General features: G+C 58.0%; 1 protein-coding gene across 3 annotated transcripts in view, besides 3 other annotated features; it reads left to right on the forward strand.

Annotated features, from left to right (window-relative positions):
• HTRA3 (HtrA serine peptidase 3) overlaps positions 1–21,430 on the forward strand; it is a 37,345-nt gene that overhangs the window by 5,893 nt on the left and 10,022 nt on the right. The window contains exons 2-7 of one of the 3 annotated variants that reach the window (NM_001297559.3): positions 6,791–6,890; positions 10,915–11,137; positions 15,724–15,918; positions 16,675–16,707; positions 18,441–18,555; positions 20,049–20,832. In NM_001297559.3, the coding sequence (NP_001284488.1) occupies positions 6,791–6,890; positions 10,915–11,137; positions 15,724–15,918; positions 16,675–16,707; positions 18,441–18,555; positions 20,049–20,071 (689 nt within the window). In that variant the 3' untranslated portion in view covers positions 20,072–20,832. Of the gene's footprint in view, positions 1–6,790; positions 6,891–10,914; positions 11,138–15,723; positions 15,919–16,674; positions 16,708–18,440; positions 18,556–20,048; positions 20,833–21,430 lie in introns of those variants that run through there. The other 2 variants (XM_011513596.4, NM_053044.5) reach the window with 2 other exon arrangements.
• Positions 16,012–16,511: an enhancer, noted in NCBI's record as "H3K4me1 hESC enhancer chr4:8293385-8293884 (GRCh37/hg19 assembly coordinates)". NCBI's record gives its function as "activates a minimal SCP1, AML or CMV promoter by ChIP-STARR-seq in primed H9 embryonic stem cells {active_cell/tissue: H9 hESC(primed)}" and the evidence as "EXISTENCE:reporter gene assay evidence [ECO:0000049][PMID:30033119]".
• Positions 19,583–19,826: a silencer, noted in NCBI's record as "fragment chr4:8296956-8297199 (GRCh37/hg19 assembly coordinates)". NCBI's record gives its function as "represses an EF-1alpha promoter that drives an FKBP-Casp9 reporter gene in an ReSE screen in phorbol 12-myristate 13-acetate-treated (for megakaryocytic differentiation) K562 erythroleukemia cells {active_cell/tissue: K562(+PMA)}" and the evidence as "EXISTENCE:reporter gene assay evidence [ECO:0000049][PMID:32094911]".
• Positions 20,032–20,531: an enhancer, noted in NCBI's record as "H3K4me1 hESC enhancer chr4:8297405-8297904 (GRCh37/hg19 assembly coordinates)". NCBI's record gives its function as "activates a minimal SCP1, AML or CMV promoter by ChIP-STARR-seq in naive H9 embryonic stem cells {active_cell/tissue: H9 hESC(naive)}" and the evidence as "EXISTENCE:reporter gene assay evidence [ECO:0000049][PMID:30033119]".

Genomic DNA, 21,430 nt, shown 5'->3' on the forward strand with positions numbered 1-21,430 from the left:
GCCAGGTGGTCTGAACACCTTCCGCCCAGGCTTGCTTTGAGGGAGGGAGGCCACCAGGTTTCACAAGGGTGAACGGTGTGACACTGGGCACTGTTCCAGGCCCACAAAGCCTTCAACACATCATTGGGGTATTGATGTCCTGGTCCTGTATGAGAAAGGGTTCAGGGAGCTGTAGGAAGCTGCCCTCGGTCACTCAGGTAGGGATGGATGGTTCTGCCCTGAGCCCAGGTCCCCTGGTTCCCCAGCCAGTGCTCTGAATACCAGGCAGGCCCCTAGCAGCTCGAAGTGTCTGCCTTGTTTGGTTTTGATGAGGGTGTTTGTGGACTAATGGGTGGGACAGGGTTTAAAATCATAGACCGCTGTCCTTGGTGCAGCAAAGATATGGCGAGGACACGTCCATATGTTCCCCAAGCTGAAAGCCAGGTCTAGTGCAGGGGTAGCAGGTGACTCCCTGGAATTGTGCAATGTACAGCCTGCCCACCTGTGTGCATTACCCTGCTCCAGCACATAATGGGCAGAGCACCAGGACTGGGACCCAGTTCTGTCCCTCATGTCTGGCTGCTCAGGGTGGAGTCCCAGCTCTGCCCCAGAAGTCTCTGAAGCTCTTTGCACCTCAGTTTCTTCATCTGTGAAATGGATAACAGTGGGACCCCCCTCACTGGTCACTGGGCAAATGAGATGATGGACTGAGTGTGCTTTGCACGGTGCCGGGCTCATAGAAGTTGATGTGAAGAAAGGATGGCAGGTGGACGCGTCTTACAGAAGTGGAGTTAGTGAGAGTGAGGGAGAGGGGTCGAGGAAGGGGAGGAGCTGGAAGGCGGTGTCTGTGGAGGTGCTGCCATGTGCTGGCCCTGCCGGAGGGAGTTTCATTGGCCCCGGTCAAGGCAGGGAGGGCTTCCTGTAAGAGGAGGGCCAGGGGCTGTCTTCCTTGCCTTCAGTGGCATGGAAGTGCCTGACCCATGGCACTGTGCACAAGGACCAGCCTTCTTGGTAAATCACAGGCAGGCTGGCGGCAGCACCTCCTCCTCCTCCCAGGGGCTGGCTGTGGCCCAGCTGGGTGTGGAGTTTCACAGCCAGAGGAGCCAGGCTGGCCCCACATTGAGCTCGGGTCTAGGTTGAGCTTTTCTGGGGCTGGACAGGTTGTCACATTTGCCAAGGGCCAGCACGGAGCAGGGGAAGCGCCCAGGTCAGGGCTTGCGGGGCCTGGCTGTGCACCTTGGGCAGGTCCCGTGGCCTCTCTAAGCCTTGTTTCCTTGCCTGTAAAATGGACTCAGTTCCTGTCTTGCAGAATTGCTGCAAGAATTCAATGAGATCACAAACTTCGGAGCCCAGCCTGACGTCCCATGCCCAAATCGGGTCCCGCCTGCGAGGTGTGGCCCGTGGAGGGGGAGGCAGCGGGTTCCTCTGGGCCTGGGCTGCAGCCCTCATCCCGCCTGCGTTCCACATGAACAGGTCTCTGGGCTTGAGGGTGGCAGATGGCAGCATCCACCCCACGGGGAGCCACAGCTGGACCTGAGGCTTGTGGGGGCACGGTTCACTTGGGGACATGGCTCGGTGGGGCAAAGTTCACTAGGGGACAGGCAAGTTTTCCAGAGGAGGAAAAGCAAAGGAAGCTGCCCTGGGAACTAGTTAGACCCAGGAGGCAGCCCCTTTAGTGGTGGGCGGGGCTGGGGGCTGTTGAGGGGGCCCCTGGAATGGCTCCTCTGTCTCTGAAGAGCATTCATTCGCTCCCTCATTTGCTTCCTGCCCACTGCAGCGGGCCAGGTCCAGCCCAGACGCAGGGGTGCAGGCCACAGGTACACTCCCAAGGGACTAGCTTTGGGAAGGGTACGAGGTGCTGTTGGGCCCAGAAGGAGAGGTGGATCACCACGCTTGCAAAGTCAGGGTAGGCTCCCCAGAGGAGGCGCTGCTGGCCTGGGCCCTGAGGAATGACAGGAAGGGCATATTCCCAGAGGAGGGAACCACATGTGCAAAGGCACAGTGACACTTAGGAGCCTGCACGCGCAGGAAGCAGAGCCGAGGTCCACAGGGGAGAGTGGCAGCACGTGAGGCTGCAGATGTCAATGGGACCAGGACACCCCAGGCCTTGAATGCCCTGCTTAGAGGTTGCCATCTGGTCTGTAGACCATGGTCACCGTTATGGACAGATGGGCACAGCCTGGGACCCATGGCTATCCACTCATGGCTCCTCCATCCCCAGCTCACAGCTGACCACTGGGTGGCAGAGGGGTCTGCTAATTGCAGAGGGCACTAAAAGAAGGGGCAGGGACCTTAGAGATGGAGGAACAGAACTGGGTGTCAGTCCCAGCTCTGCACATTATGTGCTAGAGGGACTGATGCATACAGTTGGGCAGGTTGTGCACTGCACAACTGCAGGGAAGCTGGCCACTCTGATATTTGTCAGTAAGGGCCTGGAGTTACGCAGTGTACAAACACAAGGTATCCCCACAGAGTATCTGGGCCTCAGTGTCGCCATCTGTTCCATGGCAGTTATGACTGTCCAGAGCCAGCACGTGGTCCTCTCTCAGGGTTGGCCACAGTCCCCCAGGACTCCTGGGAGTTCCATCAGGCAGGGCTGTTGGAGCTGGAGCCCTGGCACCCTACTTGTCTCCCCTGCCCTGTTGCGCCCCTTCCTCTCCTGGGATGTGACACCGGACACCTAGCCTCGGGCCTTGATTGCTTTGCTCTGTGTGAGGGTCTCCCTGACTGAAACTTCCAGGGCTTTAGATTCCAGTTTATTGAGGAAAAAAAAAAAAAAAAGGCTAACGGCTGAATCTGGTTGAGACTGACTGTTGACTTCAGAACTTTGGCTCGAGGATGGGGTGGGGGTGGAGGTTGTCAAAAACCCCCAAATAAACAGAGTCTGCTTCCCAGCCGTGGGGCCCACGGTTTTCCTGTGGAAAGAGGCAGTGGGAACCGCGTCCTCCCTTCCCCCTGATTCATGGCTGATTCATCTGCGTGTTGGGAGGAGGAGCTGGGGCACGGGGGCCCCTGCCCCCACCCCACCACCCACCGAGGTCCGCTTAAAGGGACAGGACCTGGTGGGGCCCTGCAGGGGTGCCCCAGGCTCTGGGGTTGCCTAGACCCTGAAATCCAGCAGACCTGGGCCAGCGCCAGGCCTGCCCTCCCTCAGTGATTGATCTTTGCCTCTAAGCCTCAGTCTCCTGGGCCATAAAATGGGCGAGTGCTGCTGCTTTTGTGAGGCTGCTTGGAGACTTGGTTAATCAGCTGACCCACATTCTTTCTTCAGGGTGCTCTTTGCAGACCTACTGTGTGCTGGCTCAGAGAGCATCAAGAAGGGCCCCCTTGAACTTCTCTCCCTTCTCTCTATCTTCCTCCCCTCCTCTCTCCGCCCCTCCTCCCCCTCCATCCCTTCCCTCTGAAATGTCTCAGCGGCTGTCTCACCCTGTGCTGGTTACCACTGGGGTGTGGAAGCGAACCAGATGGTCTCTGTCCCAAAGGAGCCTGGGGTGTGGGGTGGGCACGTGCGGGCTTCTCTTTGGAGACTCTGTGGGAAACAGGCCACCTCCCAGCCCAGCCCCACGGCCCTTCTGTCTCAGGCCTTGCTCTCCCTCCCTGTTTTATTTTCTCTTTGAAAAATGAAAAAAAGTCACTGTAACTTTACCCCAACCACAAATAACCACCATGTAGTAGAATTTTGATGTTTCCTGCAAGGCTTTTACTTAACGAATATTTCACAGAGGGTTTTAAAACAAATCATCCCCTATAAAATCGAGTGTCACCTATTTTAAGTGACCTCTGGGAGACCACACTGGGGAGAAAGTCCTTCCGGTGGAGGCCGCAGTGCTGTGCAGATCTTCAGGCTGCCGCGTCAGAGCTCAGGGGCCCAGCAGCCCAGGCGCTTGAGGGGGTCCAGGGGCTGGGCTTTGGCAAGCAGGGGGTGGACACGTTGGGGTCCAGAGAGCTTTCCGGCCCTGGGTGTTGGAGTGTCTGAGTCCAGGATGGAGACACACAGGAAGGCAGCCTTTTCTAATCACCTGTGGGAGGAGAGGTGCTGCCATTCCTCCTTCTGCTGTGTTCACACTGGGCCCAGGTCCCTGTGTGCCGTGGCTGCCTGCACAGGCAATGCGGGCTCAGCCTGTGGCTTTCCATGTGCTGTGCCCCTGCCCGTGGGCTCTTCCAGGCCTGGGTCAGGGCACCTCTGCACTCACCCACCCCACGCCGGGCTCCTCTCTGCCTCATCCCTGGTGATGCTGTGCTGTCTCTGGTCGGTCACTGACTTGACCCTTGCCCCCAGCTGAACCACTGTGTCTCCAGCAGCTGTCACAGGTGGGCACACAGGAGGCACCCTGCACGAGTGGCTTGAATAAGGCTGTGAGCAGCGGCAGATTCGGTACAACTGGGGCTGCTGCGGGGCTGCCTGGAGGAGGCAGGATTAGGGCCGGGCCCAGGACCAACCAGAGCATCTTGGTAGGGAGAGTAGAGAGAGGTCGTGCAGGGGGAGGTGTAGAGAGGTGGATGATGAGCAGAAACTGGAGTTGGTGGCCCGACAAAGGCCACACGGTAGGAGAGGTAATATGGTCCCACCTGGGGGCTGTGCCCGTGCCCTGGCGCTTCTCCTCAGGCGAGGCACATGGGGCGCCAGCCTCAGGCCCCAGGGCACACAGGGGAGCAGCAGACCGGCTGAGTCCTCCCTCCTGGAGGGAGGAGGGCCTGGGCCTGGGGGTTGCCCTGGGATCCCTCTGGGTCGTGGAAATTGTGGGTCTGAGCGCATCTTGTGAGAGCTCTGAACCAGCTCCAAACCTCACCAGGGAAGCAGGCTTTGTGGCTGGTGTCCTTCCTCTCTACTTGGGTGCTAGAAAATGAACTCAAGTTCCCAGGGGCAGGGAGGAGAAGCAGACAGGCCTGGGCTGCCCACTCGGGCCGCACGGCAGCTTCACCTCACCAAGGGAGCCGCCTGCTTTGTAGGTGTCGAGCAGGGCAGCGCATCCCTCATGGAAGCAAACGTGGGCAGAGAGAGCCCTGGGCCCACAGCAGGCCCTGCCCCTGGGGTGTTTGTTAATGTGACCTCTGAACCTGAGACCCCGCTCTGCCGCAGTGGTTTGATCTATGAGGAGCCTCGCGGTGGCCGGCGTCTCCCAGCCAGGCTCTAGCCACCCCAGACAGGTGGCCTTTGATTCAGGCTGACTGAAGTGGACGAGGGCTGGTGTGGTTGGTGCCTGCGGGCCGGTTGAGAGGCAGACATCGGAAGTCTGGGAGACCCAACACCAGAGCTCGAGCCAACCCCCTAGGTCCCAGCTCAGGCTAAAGGGCTCTTCAGGGCCTTGGGGAGCTGCAGGGCAGAGGTGGGGGCACCCAGGGAAAGGAGGCCTGCGGCCTGCGTTCAGATCCTGGTTCTCCCCTCCCAGCCGTGAGTCCTTGGGCAGGGGGGTTCTTCTTACAGAGCCTCAGTGTCCCCACCTTTAAAATAGAGGAAAAGTTTCCTTCCCCTGGCTGCCCCTGGAGAGTTGGGTGAATGAATTGGGATGTGCCTGGGGATTGTGTTTGCCCTGTGATGATTCCTAGAGCACGGACCGCGGCCCGGGCCCTGCCCCCACAGTGGCATCCACCATGGTACCTTCGTGCCTTTGGACGATCCAGAAAACCAGATTTTCCCTCGGTCCCCATGCCCGGCCACTTCCCAGAGATCAAGAGAAATGTGGGCTGCAAAGCTGGAAAGCTGGACGTTATGGACTGAGCCCTCTTTGCTCCCCATTGCCAAGGTGGCTGGGTGGGTGGGTAGCCCCCCGGGCAGGGACTCGAAGTTTGCAGTCCTCCACACTCAGTTCCCACAGATGTGGTAGGAGGGCATATTCAGTCCCATTTTTCAGATGAGGAGTTGAGGCCCAGAGAACGTAAGTAATCTGTCTGAGGCCACACAGCTAGAAAGCAGCCAGGCCCAGCCGAACCCCTGGTGTGTGCAGCCCCCAGCCCAGTTGCTCATTGCGGGGCTCGGGAGCCACGAGCGAGGCTGAGCAGCATGTGTTCCAGATGGTGGGAACTGGAGAGAGCCCGGCACAGGCCCGTGCAGGGAACCCCGAGGGCTGTGGGCCCCGTGCCACTGCATGCCTCAGGCCTGTGGTCCTGGCAGCCACAGCCCCTACTGCTGACGGCAGCAGGAATCTGAGCCCGGGAAGGGTCCAGGGAAGTTCGTGAACCATCTAGCAAGTCGGGCTGGGGTGTGGCCAAGTTAGACACAGATGTAGGGCCCTGTGGACTCAGAAATTGGCAGCTCTTTTGGCCCAGAGGGGCCACACTGTGTCCGGGCCTGGGTAGCTCAGAAGGGTCACCTGGGGGTCTTCCACTACACCCCCGCCTGGACACTGCTGTAGCCCCAGGGCTCGGAGGGACCAGCTGGAGCCCATGAGGAGAGGGCCAGTTCTCTCCTGTAAGGGTATTGCTGTAGCATGAGGGAACAGACAAGGCCCAGGGGGACTAACCCGAGATCCAGCCCTGGCCTCACTCCCGTGTGGCTCACGGCAATATCCTAACCTCTCTCTGAGCCTCCTGCCCAGCCTAGCAGGGTCCAGTGAGGGGGGTGAGGAAGCCCAGCACGTGGAAGCCTTTTTAACCATTCTCGGGGTGAGCGAGCCCCTTCCCAAATGCCTGGTGTCACTGCACTGCTGTGTGGTAGGGGGTCCCCAACGGGCTCAGTGTGGGCTGAGGCTGGCTCTGAACTGGGACAGGGGTCTCAGGAAGAGCCTCCTCCTTCTGCCCACTGGGCATAGGCCTCTGGGAGCTGGCAGCATCGTGATCTCACTGATGCACCTGGCCCTTCCCGCCAGCGCAGGTCTCCACCAGCTGAGCAGCCCGCGCTACAAGTTCAACTTCATTGCTGACGTGGTGGAGAAGATCGCACCAGCCGTGGTCCACATAGAGCTCTTCCTGAGGTGGGTGAATACCCCTCGCCCCTCTCTGCCTCCTGGTGTCCCCTGGTACACCCGCCAGCTGCTGGGGCCCAAACCAGGCTTGATTCTGCAGCCTGGGCCACAGAAACTGGAGTGGCCTGGGGTCAGGCTGACCTCAGTCACATCTGCTGGCTGCCTGTGTGCCCCTGGGGAAGGACATCCCCGCTGAAGTGACTCCGCACCTGCTGGAGCTGTAGGCACCAAGAAGGTGCACAGCTGTGGGTCTTTGTCCCTTCATGCTGCTGCCCATGCTATTGGATACATGCAATGTGTTGGTCGTCCTGAGGGGCCGTGCAGTAAAGCAGACACAGACAGAACCCAGCGGAGGAGATGCCAGGAGACAGCAGGTGTGTGTGCAAGGAGCAGAGGCATGGCAGGCAGAGAGCAGGGCTCGGGGCAGTGGGAACCGGGGGCTCGGGAGGCCTCACAAGCTAAGCCTGAAGTAGGCACCCCGGGAGCTGGGCCAGTGGATGCAGGGCAGTGGGGGCAGCTCGCAAGCACCGAGGCCCGTGTGGCCGGAGCGGGGAGGAATGAGGGATGGGTGAGTGAACGCACGAATCAGTGCATGGATGAGTGAGGGGAGGAATGAGTTAGTGAAGGAAGTGGCAGAATGAATGAGTGAGGGAGGGAATGAGTGAGTGTCCAATGGATGAGTAAAAGAATGAATGAATGAGTGGAGTCGGTCAATAGGGAAGCGGGATGTCCCAGCCCCGTAGAGGAAGTGGTGTGTACCGTGTGGCTTCACCCCCGAGCAAGGCCTCTCCTTGCAGATGCACAGGCAAAGCCTCCTCCCCTTCTTCCCACAGGGCCTGCCCCGGTCCCTGCCACCATCCCCAGCCTCTCCTACTTCCCCCATCACAGAGACCCTCTGAGCTGGTTTGGGGGAGCCCTGCCTTCAGAACCTCCCGCTGTGCAAGCTGCCCAATGTCTGATCGCTCACACCGAATCCTGAGGGCTCATCCCAGATTGACTTATATCCCGCAGAAGCAGACTGAATGACTCTTCTGAAGTTTAGAGTGTTTCTCCCATCCACCTTTGCTGGCCCTTTGGTCCCTGGGTGTGCACAGAGCCGGCAAACAGCCTGATGAGGAGGCCCCGGAACCAAGCCTCATTCCACCCTGATAGGGATCAGACGGCGGGTCCAGGCGGACACGGAGCCGGCAATGAGCAGTCACCAGAGGCCGCAGGCCAGGGCTCCAGGGACTTGCTTGTTTTCACGGTACTTTCCCTGAGGCCTCCAGCCTCCCTGTGACGAGGCTCCACTGCCCTAGGCCCGGCCCTGGGGACTGAGCATCTGGTGGCTCATGGGGAGATCCCAGGAGTGATTCCTGCTCCAGCACCGCCTCCCTGCTGGCTGGCTCGGCGCTTGTCTGGTCCAAGCCCCTGTCACTAGGCGTCACGGCCCCTCTGCCCTCCCCATCCCGGGCTCTCCAGCAGAGGTCGTGCTCCTTGAACAGGGGTGTGAGAGCGCGTGACGGGCATATAGCACCTCAGCATCACATCCTCCACACCTGCTGGGAGCTCCCTGGGCTGTGGGCTGTGTAGCCCATGTTTCTCAAAACAGCCCTGGAGGCACCACCCATGCAGGACCCACAGCCCTGGTTGCCACCCTGTCCGGTGCCCCGTGCTGATGGACCTCTCACTGCCCCCTTGGCAGCACACTGACCCCTCACTGCCCTTCCCTCGAGCCCCGGGCCCTGAGACATGTCATTGAGGAAATTATAACTGGATGCACTAAGTGGCACGTTGCTGGCCTTCCAGGAGGTAGGGATGGGGGCAGCATCTTTCTGGAAGGCCCCAGCCACCAGGCTCTGAACCAACTAATTACTGACTCCAGCCCGGCTGGGAGGCCGTTTCTGCCCTCAGAGCCTCCAGTGACTGATGCTCTGAGTGGGTGGGTGAGACCCAGCAAAGATGAGACAGATGCTTTTCCAGCACAGGCCTCCCGGCTGTGACCCCTGACCTGAGGTCTGAGTGTGGGCATGGAGGCCAGTGGGCAGCCGCGGGCATTTTCTGCAGACCCCGCAGGTGCCTGGCCCTGTGAGGCACCCTGGGGCTTCCGCAGGCAAAACAGGTGCAGTTCCTACTCTGGGGCACACACGGAGTGGGTGTGGCAGAAGCTGGCTGCGGATGTGAGTGGACAGATGCTGGGGTCACCGTGTGGGGTGGCCAAGTGGCCAGATGCCCAGGCTGCCTGGGGCAGACCCCTGCTTTGCCCTTTGCCTGCCCGCCTGACCTAGGCAAGTAGTTCAGCGTCTCGGGACTCAGTTTTCCCACCATAAAGACCTGAGAGTTAGGGACGACAGTAGTTTCTTGTGGCTGCCATAACAAAGTACCACAGACTGCATGGCTTAAAATGACAGAGATGTTTGCTCCCATGGTTCTGGAGGCTGGAAGTCCTAATCAAGGTGTCAAGGTCCTAATCAAGCAGGGCTGCTTTCTTCTGGGGGATGTTGGGGGAGTGTCCCAGGCCCCTCTACTGGCTCTAGTGTTTTCCGCAGTCCTTGGTACGCCTCGGCCCTTAGACCCCTCTCTCTGCTCTGTCTCCATCATCTCATGGCCTTCCCCTCTGTGAGACTGGACTTCCCTCCCTTAAAGACAACACAGACACACTCTGATGTCACCGTAACTTCAGGACACCTGCAAAGACCCTGTTTCCAAATAAAGTCACATTCACAGTCACATGGGGTTAGGACTTGGCCGTATCTCTTGGCAGGGATACAGCTCACCACAGCACCCCCCTTGCAGGGTGCCCATGAGCATTCAATGGCCTGCCTGCCTCAGAGGGAGCACAGGGTGGCATTCGCTGCCATCTCTGGTCCTGTGGGTCACAGCGAAGCTCCTGTACTTTGCAGAGACTGTCACCTCCCTGCACGTGCCAGACGCTCCCATCCCTCCATGCTTTGTCTCTTGCTCTCACCTGCCTGCACGTGCCAGACGTTTCCATCCCTCCATACTTTGTCCCTCGCACATTTTCCTTGCTCATCTCTACTAAGCAGCCTCAGGGAGTGAGTACCTGCTCTGGGCTGGGCCCCACGCTGGGGTCCCGAAGGTTCCCACCCTGGAGAAGGTCCCAGGCTGTGTCTGGCATTCAGCCTCCTCCCCTGCTGGATGTGGGGCTGTGGTTTCTACTCAGAGAGCTCTGGTGAGAACTGGGGATTGTTGCCCATCGGCAGACACCAATGCAAACCCAGGCCAGCTCCACACCGTTCACAGAGGGCAGGGCCCAGGCTGGCCTCATCTGTGCCTCTGCACCCCTGCCCTCGGGGTGTCCAGGGCTCGGGTCCTGCATCTGCCTGCTGCCAGCACTGCCACATTTGGGGCTTTAGGCAGCTAGCCTGGGGGTGAGGGTAGAGGGAGGTGGGAATAAGCCTTCTCAGCCCTCCCAGCACTCACCCTGTCGGGATGATCAGGAATCTGCCCCAGCCTCTGGGGAGCCTCCCTTCCTGGGTACCTGCTGCAGCCCTGCAGGATGCTGTGTGTGCAATGGGGCTTTTCCCCTAGGGCCAATTATTGTCCTGTTTGTTGAGAGGCGTTTTAGAGCCCAGGCATCACCACTCGGCGGAGGAGGTGTTGTTGTCCCATTTCCCAAATGGGGAGACCAAGGCTCAGAGAGCTTCACTGACCTGCCCACGGTCAGGCAGATAATAAGTGGGTCCTGGACTTGGGATTAGCATCCTGGTCTGTCTGGCTCCGTGCTCCGTAGTCAGGATGGCGAGTGCAAGCTGGGAGTCATCTGACATGTCGCAGGCAGCCTGTCTCATCTCAGCAAATTGCAGCGAGAGGTGATCATCATCACCTCTTTATGGCTGTGAATGGGTGCAGGCGCCGGTGACTTGGCCAGGTCACAGGGCCAGGATTCAAATGGGAGCTTGAGGGACTCCAGACCTGTGTTCTGTCAGCCACACACTGGCTCTGCTCCTCGCTGACCAGCCCCACCACTGCGCCTGACTCCCCCGCGTCCTAGCCCCACCCTAAATGCCCGCCTGTGTCTCCCTGGCTGCAGACACCCGCTGTTTGGCCGCAACGTGCCCCTGTCCAGCGGTTCTGGCTTCATCATGTCAGAGGCCGGCCTGATCATCACCAATGCCCACGTGGTGTCCAGCAACAGTGCTGCCCCGGGCAGGCAGCAGCTCAAGGTGCAGCTACAGAATGGGGACTCCTATGAGGCCACCATCAAAGACATCGACAAGAAGTCGGACATTGCCACCATCAAGATCCATCCCAAGGTGGGTGGGCGTGGGTGGAGGGGCGGAAGCACCTGGGGCTGGGCATGGTGGCCTCTTCCCAGACGCCGGAACCCAGAGGCAAGCTAGCCCCACCTTCCATCAGCCAGGGGGAGGAAACTGGGCCCAGGGAGGACTGGCAGCTGGCCCAGGGTCACGGCTTGGAAAAGACCTAGAACCCAGGTCTTTGGACTCCTTGTCCTGCGCTCCCTGAGCCGCTAGGTGCAGGGCAGAGCCAGGAAGCATGTGGCCCACAGTGGGTGGGCTGTGGTCCCATATCACACCCCACGGAGGCTCTTCACTGTCTTACCTGGGCCCACTACTGGGGATGCACCTGCCCCATGGGATGGCATCTGGGTTTGGGCGTGGAGGCCAGGGGGCTGCCGTGGGGAACACTTGGGACAGGGACCCCATCCCTCCACCTTCACGTCTGTACCTCCCACCAGCTGACCCAGAAGAGGCCTGCACTGAGGCCCCCAGAATCCTCTTCTTCCTCCACCGGCTGTTTCTGGAAGGCCTGCTCTCAGCCAGGCGCTGACTGCACTCCTCTAATTCTCACCACAGGCCTGGGAGGAAAGGGCCTGTATGAGTCTGTTTTCACACTGCTATAAAGAACTACCTGAGACTGGGTCATTTATGAAGAAAAGAGGGTTCGTTGACTCAGAGTTCTGTAGGCTGTACAGGAAGCATGACCAGGAGGCCTCAGGAGACATACAATCATGACGGAAGGCAAAGGGGAAGCAGGGACATCTTCTCATGGCAGAGCCGGAGAGAGAGAGAGTGAAGTGGGACATGCCACACATTTTAAAACCATCAGATCTCGTGAGAACTCACCACCATGAGAACAGCATGGGGGAAGTCTGCCCCCATGATCCCATCACCTCCCACCAGGCCCGTCCCCCAACACATGGGGATTACAATTTGACATGAGATTTGGGTGGCGACACAGAGCCAAACCATATCAGGGACCTCATTATCTTGGGATTTCAGACGGGGCAACTGAGGCTTGGAAGTTAGGTAACTCGTCCAAGATCACAGCGCACTGGAGCAGGGCTGGCCCGCTCAGCTAGGACCCCGGCCTCCCTCCAGCTTGTTCTTGTCTTGCCCAATGCCATGCTTATGTGACCCTGGGGACCACAGTTGAGTTACTTGCAGCTCCCCATGCCATGAGGTCACTGAGTCCCATGTCTCACACCAGCGTTGGACCCGGAGCTTCCCTTGGACTGGGAAGTTCACCTTGGCTGGTTTGAATTTGGCTTCCTCTCTTTCTGAATGAACGTTTACAGCATTTGTGATGAAATCTTTTGCAAGGGGGTTTCCTCTTGCCCCATCAAGGGAGAGGAGATTTAATGGTTCCAAGGAGTTCCCCTAATGGGGACCCTTCCCTGCTTTTCAGACTTTTCACGGTCGCGATTGAGTCTGGGGGCATCACCTCCATTTTAAAGTTAAGGAAACCCACTGAGGGGTGTGCTCACGGACAGGAGTTGGCAAATTTTCTTTTCTTTTTTTTGAAATGGGGTTTTGCCCTTGTTGCCCAGGCTGGAGTGCAATGGCGTCATCTCGGCTCACCACAACCTCCGCCTCCCGGGTTCAAGCAATTCTCCTGCCTCAGCCCCCCGAGTAGCTAGGATCACAGGCATGTGCCACCACACTGGCCAATTTTTTTGTATTTTTAGTAGAGACGGGGTTTCTCCATGTTGGTCAGGCTGGTCTTGAACTCCCAACCACAGGTGATCCACCTGCCTTGGCCTCCCAAAGTACCGGGATTACAGGCGTGAACCACCGTGCCTAGCCTTTTTTTTTTTTTTTTGAGACGGGTTCTTGCTCTGTCACCCAGGCTGGAGTGCAGTAGCAGGATCTCGGCTCACTGCAACCTCCACCTCCCAGGTTCAAGTAATTCCCCTGTCTCAGTCTCCCAAGTAGCTGTGACTATAGGTGCATGCCACCACCCTCAGCTAATTTTTGTATTTTTAGTAGAGATGGGTTTCACCATGTTGGCCAGGCTGGTCTTGAACTCCTGACCTCAGGTGATCCCCTGCCTTGGCCTCCCAAAGTGCTAGGATTACAGGAATGAGCCACTGCACCCCACCCCCAAATTTTCCTTCCTTCCTTCCGTCCGTCCTTCCTTCCTTCCTTCCTTCCTTCCTTCCTTCCTCCCTTCCTCCCCCTCTCTCTCTCTTTTTTTTTTTTTCAGGGTCTCGCTCTGTTGCCCAGGCTGGAGTGCAGTGGCACAATCACAGCTCACTGCAGCGTCAAACTCCTGGGCTTAAGGGATCTTCCCACCTTGGCCTTCCATATAGCTAGGACTACAGGCATGCACCACCATACCTGGCTAATTTTTAAATTTTTGGTAGAGATAGGGTCTCGCTGTATTGCCCAGGCTGGTCTAGAACTCGTGGGCTCAAGCAATCCTCCTGCCTCGGCCTCCCAAAGTGTTGGGATTACAGGTGTGAGCCATGGTGCCCAGCCAACAAATTTTCCATGAAGCCAAATGGTAAATATTTTATCTTTGCAAGCCCTGTGGTCTCTGTCACAACCACGCATCTCTGCTGTGGCAAAAATGCAGCCTTAGGCTGCACAGGTGGGTGTGGCTGCGTTCCAGTGAAGCTTGATTCACAAAACAGGCAATGGACAGCGTTTGGGCCTTGGGCCAGTTTGCAACCCCCGCTCGAGGACCCCTGTGGGAAGAGGAGAGCGAGACTAGGGGCAGGTCTGTCTCCCCTTCCGGCGGCTGTGGCAGAATGCTGGCAGGACTGGTGGGGTGGTATCCAGGTGGGCCTGAGCAGGACGCCCCACCAGCCACCTGTGGCAAATGGGTGCCAGCAGAGCTAGTGTGATTCATGTCCTGCAGGCCCTGGTCAGCACCCATGGCCATGAGCTGAGGTGGGAAACGCCCTCCTAGCCCCTAGGCATTAAATCGAGCCATGGGAAAGGCTCCTGACCCTCACCTGTGCCCCCTCCTTGGGTGCAGGGAGGATGGCTGACCCTCCCCAGCTCACGGCCTCACCTGTGCACCCTCCTTGGGTGCAGGGAGGATGACTGACCCTCCCCAGCTCATGGCCTCACCTGTGCGCCCTCCTTGGGTGCAGGGAGGATGGGCTGACCCTCCCCAGCTCATGGCCTCACCTGTGCGCCCTCCTTGGGTGCAGGGAGGATGGGCTGACCCTCCCCAGTTCACGGCCTCACCTGTGCACCCTCCTTGGGTGCAGGGAGGACGGGCTGACCCTCCTCAGTTCACGGCCTCCCAGAGATTTCAGACGTTATTTCTGCCTCTTCGGCCGGTCAGCAATGGAAAATGTCATCTCTCCGGGCCCTCACCTTCCAATGTGCAGGCCTGGTTCCGCCACCTGGCATTCTCTCTGCCATTGACTGAAGCTTCTTGAGCACAGAGAATAGAGGAGCGGCCTGAGTCTTTCCCACACCAGCGCCCGCCCACCAAGGGCTCCCGTAATCCTGTGCGGGGCTCCACGTCGTCCCCATTATTGACAGCTTTCTCCTCGTATTGAAAGCTGCAAAGAGAAACTTTCTTATTTGACATGATGGTGTATAATAAAAGGGAAGAGGACTGAAACGATGAGAAGGACCAGTGGCCTGGTGGAGGGGAGCCATCCAGAGGGTCAGAGGCATGGGGTCCTGCCCCACTGATCTCCTAAGTTGGGGCAATGCTCTTGAGACCTGGCCGATCGCAGATCCACGGGAAGCTACAGGGTAGTGCCACAAGGTCCCAGGAGACTTTCCGCCAGCTTCCCTCAACGGTGACATCTTAGGTAATGGGTGCAAAACCAGAACCAGGAAGTTGATGTGGGTACGAGCACAGAACCGCCTTCCCCAATTTATCGTGTGTGTGTGTGCGCTTCGGCACCTTCTAACAAGCACCCGGGATTACCTTCTCAGAGTGTGCACCACGCAGCTTCTGGAACACAGAGCTTGGCTGTTCTCCTTGCTGCCAGGCTAGTTGCAGAGTCAGATAATCAGACAGACAGGCTCCGCTGGGCCCGCGCAAAAGCAGAAGAGGGGTGTGCAGGTGTCTCAGTGTGCGCGGCGTGGGGTGGAGCTCGGCTAGTGGCTTCACTTCTCCAGGCCTGAGTTCCCCCGTGTGTCTCTACTGGGAGATGAGATGGAACTGGATCAAGGATGTCAGAGTCCTTAGCTGGGCTCCAGTTGTCTGCAGATCTCTCTCCATCAAATGCATCAGTTTGTGTGTGGTGCATATGGTGTAGTAGTTTTTACCAGGTGTCTGCAGCTTTTACCAGATTTTTAGAGGCCATGTGACCATCAGATCATTGGGCTCAACGACCTTGGAGGCTGTGCTCAGCTGCACATGATGAGCACCCATGCCTGCCCTGGGGGAACCTCTGGTCCCTGGCACAGCTGAGCCTCTGTTCCGTGTACTCCAGCCCTGGGTCTCAGCACAGGACTGCCCTGGTCTTGGTCTGCACTGGTGACCTGCCTGAGCCTTCACAGTCCTGGTGGCTTTGCACAGATGTGCATGCCTTCCCTGGGACCCCCCTGCCAGGATCTGACTCCGGTCCCCGCTGAAGGTAGACGGCTAAGCCTCCCTCTCTGTGTCTTCTCCTTCTCTCTCCTAGAAAAAGCTCCCTGTGTTGTTGCTGGGTCACTCGGCCGACCTGCGGCCTGGGGAGTTTGTGGTGGCCATCGGCAGTCCCTTCGCCCTACAGAACACAGTGACAACGGGCATCGTCAGCACTGCCCAGCGGGAGGGCAGGGAGCTGGGCCTCCGGGACTCCGACATGGACTACATCCAGACGGATGCCATCATCAACGTGAGTCCCAGGGACAGGAGGCCGGGGCACCTGCCATCTGTGCCCAAGACCTCAACCTCGAGGTGGTCTCTGACTCGGCTTGCCCCCCTCCCCAGAGCCATTCTGGCACTCGACACATCCACTTGCTAGAAAGTTCTCTCTTTACATTCGGTGGAGCTCTAACCCTGTGACTTCCACCCCAGGGTGCCAGGCACGCTGGGAGTCAGAGGCTGCTGTCCTCGCTCGGGCAGCCTTTCAGAGAAACAGAGGCATGGCCACAGCCCGCAAACACCTTTGCCCAGCTTACACACCCTGGCCAACATTGCTTTTCATTATTATTGTGATTATGTTGGTGGCACGTTTAGCATTCACAAAGCACTTCACCCAGATGCCCCAGATCACGTCCATCCAGCTTTGCCGCAGCTCAGGCACTTGGCTGGAATCCGAGTCTTTGTAGAGGGCCCCCCCAGGCCAGCAGGATGGGAAGTAATACCCCCATTCTCCATGCACCAGGCGGTGCTGCCTGGCCTCCGGGGTGTAGATGCCGAAGCGTATGGTTTGTGCAGAGAACAGTGACAGTCAGACCTCGGTCATCAGGCAGCCATCCACATGGCCTTCTTATCTGTGAAATGGGGGCAGCACTGAGGCCTTTCGATGCTGCTGAGGATGAGACCTGCTTATGTGTCTCTGCACTGGTTAGAGGCAGATCTGGAGAAGGGGCTCCAGGAAGCCTCAGGCGGGGTCAGGCACAGCTAATGCTGTTTCCTCCCCTTGCAGTACGGGAACTCCGGGGGACCACTGGTGAACCTGGTAAGTGTCCCCTAGAGCCAAAATCTCTCAGGTTTCTGGGGTTCTTCTCACATGGGGGTGCTCAGCCTTGAGGTGGGACAGGGCCCACAATATGGTCCTAGAACATTTACACCAACAGTCGGGAGTGCAGCTGGGCCGGAGGCCTGGAAGGAGGAAAGACCAAGGCTGCCCCAAGCGCCTCGGGGATGCTAGTGGCCACCAGGAATGAGGACTCACCCATGAGCAGCAGCTCAGTCCAGGGCCATGTGCCTGTCAGGGGAGCTGGGGCAAGGGAGACGCAGGTGTGGGGCTGCTCACCTCAGCCCTCCCTGCCCTGGATGTACACACAGGATGACAGGGGCACCCTCATTCTCCCCTTCCCAGTTGTGTCTTGAGCCTCAAAGTCAAGCTCAGCCTCATCCCAGGTGAGATTTTTCCAGAATAAACCAGGAAGCTCAGTTCAGAGCTCCTAGGCCCTGAAGGATCGGACGGTCCCACCCCTGAAGCTCCTATCCATGGCTGGGGAGGTGTCCAGATGTGAACAAGCCCAAGCACCATGTGAGCCACATGAGATAGCTCTGGAGGGACGCTGGGCAGGAAGACCTGGCAGCTGATGTGAGATCAGGGAGGGCTTCCTGGAGGTGAGAGCATTATACAACAGCCATCGAGATTGAGGAGGACTGGGTACAGGAAGAAGAAATCCCAGGGAGAAGGCACAACATGAGCATTGCAGGAGGCTCTCAGAGGCTTAGGGAGGGGGAGGTCAGACAAGGGGACAATGAAAGGGGCTGGTGGCCCATGTCCTGCTGCCTCAGGCCTCGTGTGCAGATGGGGCTTCACCCTATGTGCCCAAGATGTCTCCCAGGCTTTTGGCAGGGCTGAGGCCGTGCCCTGGTTTCAAGGAAGCTCGTGTGTGTGGTTTAGGCTGGAGGCCAGAAAGCCAGGCCCAGGAGGCTGCTCCGCATGGTCCAGGCAGTAGAGATGGGCACAGAGGGCCGAGGGTGGACACAGAACTCAATCTACTGGATCTCACACTCGGATGCTCTTCCTGCCTCCTGAGCTTCCAGGGACCAGGAGGACAAAGGGTGCCTTGACCCAAAGCTCTGCCCCAGGCCCCAGAGGGATCCCTGGTGAGCTGGCCAGGCCCTGACAGGGAGGGCAGGGCTAGGGGTATAAGCCAGGCTGTGGGGTGGGGCTCCTTTCCAGGAGTGTGCCTGAGTGTGAGGTCCCCAGGGGCCAGGTCAGATCCTGCCCAAGTGGTACCAGCCTCATGGGGGGCAGGGCAGGTTTGGAGGGTCTCCAAAGAGAGGGATGGGGGGGTCAAGGAGCTCCCCTGGTCCCACCTGCCAGCCCCCCACTTCTGGAAGGTAGGGATAGACAGGGTCTCTGTCCCCGACAGGCCTTACCATGTTCCTCCCTCTCTCGGTCCCTCCAAACATGGCTTGGCGGTGTCCTTGGCCCAGTGGCCGTGCTTCTTAGAGGCAGAGTGGCCAGAGCCTGGGGGCAGGCCCGAGCTGCAAGCTTCCCTGGAAATACTCTCCAGGGATGGGGAAGGGGGATCTCCAGGATTTGGAGAGGTAGGGTCACTGACACAGGTGTGATCCTGAGAGTGAGCTTTTCAGGGGAGTTGGGGGCTGTAGGGGGATTGACAGCTGGGGTCAGCCTCTAGAAACAGAGCTGTGGACACAGTGCTTTGTGGGCAGGGGTTTGCCTGGGTTCCCCCAACTGATGCCTGCTCTTACCTCCCTGCCCAGGATGGCGAGGTCATTGGCATCAACACGCTCAAGGTCACGGCTGGCATCTCCTTTGCCATCCCCTCAGACCGCATCACACGGTTCCTCACAGAGTTCCAAGACAAGCAGATCAAAGGTAAAGAGCTCACCTGGAGGGGGCCAGAGGCAGGGGGCACTCTCCCAGGGCTACAGCCCCTTAACACCCCAGCCCTGGGACCAAGGCCCACCGGAGGTGCTGGGTGAACTTTGCTCACTACTGGACAGGTCCTGTCTGCCCACCCCAAAGCTGTGAGACCCCCAGGACAGCTTATCCTCAGCCTCTTTCAGGATCTTCCCCCTGCCTATCATCGATTCGTGATCGGCTTCATCCCCTGCCCCTCCAAGGCTGTCTCCTTTTGGCTGGGGAATCTCCGAGCTCAGCTCCCACCATCAGCTTCCTGGACTCCCTGGGCTCCTCTCATTTGGGCTGCTCTTTAGTTGTCAGGTGTTTCTTTCCTTCTATCCGTCCGTCCGTCCGTCCATCCATCCATCCATCCATCCATCCATCCATCCATCCATCCATCCATCCATCCATCCATCCATCCATCCATCCATCCATCCATCCATCCATCCATCCATCCATCCATCCATCCATCCATCCATCCACACCTTTCTACCCATCTACCCATCCATCCACCCACCCATCTTTCCATCCACCCATCCACCTATCCATCCATCCATCCACCCATCTATCCATCCACCCACCCACCCAGCCATTCATCCATTCATCCATCCATCCACCTATCCATCATCCATCCATCCTATATCCATCCATCCACCCAACCACTCATTTATCCTTCCAACCACCAATTCTTCCATCCATCATCCATTCATCCACCCATCCATCCGTCCATCCATCATCCATCCATTTACCCATCCATCCATCCATCTACTCATCCATTCATCCACTCATCCACCCACCTATCCACCCATTCACCCACCTGGCCACCATTTCTTCCTTCCTTTATTTTTTCCTTTCTTTTTTTCCTTCTCTCCTTCCTTCCACCCATCCACCCACCCACTCATTCACCTGTCTACCTATCCACCCATCCATCCATCCGTCTACCCACCTGTCCCTCTATCCCTGTCCGTCTATTCTTCCATCCATCTACCCACTCCTGAGTACTTCCTCTTCCAGCCTGTGGCCCATGGAGATCACATGGTAGAATATCCTCTATGCCAGGGGAGCAGAGTCCAATACCTCGTCTTTGGAAGTCACCCTCCTCCAAGCCCCCATTTCCTTGCCCCCATTTCCTCACCCCATCAAAAAGGGATACCCAGCCCACCCTGCCCACTCCTAGATTGCCATGAGCACCCATCTGGGAGAGGCCTCGCCAGGGCACTAGGCAACTCTCCCAAGTGAGAGCATGCCCATTGCCTCCTTAAGTGGGCAGTCGCAGCCACCTTCCAGAGCAGGGCCATGCTTCCAATCGCAGGGCCTTTCCTGGGGGCCTCTCCCTCCCCACCTTCTCTTCAGCCCTAGTGAGCTTCTCCCTCCTGCCATTGTGTCTCCTGTGCCCACCTCCTGGCCAACGCCCAGGCCTGACTCAGCAACTCACACTTCCACATTGCTTTGCTGTCTCCTCCCAGCCCCCTCACTGGCAGTTCATTGAGAGCAGGGGGCTTCCTCACGTTTCCCCCTCCTCCATGACCCCGTCAGCCAAGCACATGGACCCCAGTGCAGCCAAGGCTGGTGCCATGAGGGCTGGTCACATGAAGAGCTGCTGTTGAGGATGCCGCCATTGTTCTTCTGTGTCCATTATGGGAAGACAATCTGGAGCCAGGCAGAGCCTGTCTTTCCCAAAGAAGCTGAAGTCTTCTTCTCTTGAACAGTGGGGACCATCTAATCTCTTGAGCCCTTTTCCTGTTGGCTTCTAGGAAGCTCAGAGCTAGATTCAGGGGTGCACCCAGACCTGTCCTAGCATGCTCCTTTCCCTAATGACCGAGTCTTTCCTGTTGAATTATCCCATTCTCCATGGGTGCCTTTGACTTTGGCCTCCTTACTGGAAATTAGCGGAGCTGCTGTTTGCACACACTGAGCTGTGAGGTGGCTTTCCTTGGAAGTGGATGATAGTGTCCTCTTCCCTTCTTGCCTCTCTCTTTCTCCTGAGACAGGATCCCCCTGGGGCCTAGGTTTGCTCCTTTGTTGTACAGGGGCTGTCCCAGTTAGTGCTGACCTCATCCCAGAACCCCCTGGGAAATATCCCCTGTCCTCAGAGCTGTGTCCCCTCCCCAAGGACAGTGCAGACTAACTGAGGAGCCTGATAAACCTTAGCTGCATGGCACACTTGCAATTTTAAAATCCTTCTGAAGTTGACTGGTGTTTGTACTTGCTTCTCTTTTTTATTTAATAAAATCCAATGATCCAAACCCAGTTAATCTAAAGTTCTTTGAAATGAACCATCTTTTTATTAAATCAAGGAGATGTTAAGTGCATTTATTATTCTCGTCTGGAGGTGGGGTGCAGAGGCCTCTGAGGGGCTTTCAGGGTAAAGAGTGGCCACCATGCATGTTGGGGGAGCCCCAGGAGGGCTTGGGGTCCAGCCAGCCTTAGGACCAGAGAGTAGCCCCACATGGGGTGGTGTGGGGTGTTTGATTCATGGAGTGGGGCCGTTTGTGGGCATCTGCCCCTCTGTGGACTGTGGGGAACAGTGCAGTTCATAGGTGGGAGACCTCTGGCCTGGGGGGTAAACCCCTCGTTTATCCTGTGGCCCACAAGCCAAGGGAGAGCTGTAGGGAGGGGAGGGGACAGGGACAAAGACATGTGCTTTCCCTGGTCTCAGACATCACAGAGTTCCCAGATCTCTGACATCACAGGATTCCTCGATCTCAGAGGCCACAGGGTTCCTTAGTCTCAGAAGTCACAGGGTCCTGTGGTCTCAAAAACCGTAAGTTTCCCTGGTCTCAGAGTTCACAGGGTTCCCCAGCCTCAGAGGTCACAGGGTCCCTTGGTCTCAGAAGCCAAAAGGTTC

Source organism: Homo sapiens, chromosome 4 (assembly GCF_000001405.40).
Source record: "Homo sapiens chromosome 4, GRCh38.p14 Primary Assembly".
NCBI classification, from domain to species: Eukaryota; Metazoa; Chordata; class Mammalia; order Primates; family Hominidae; genus Homo; species Homo sapiens.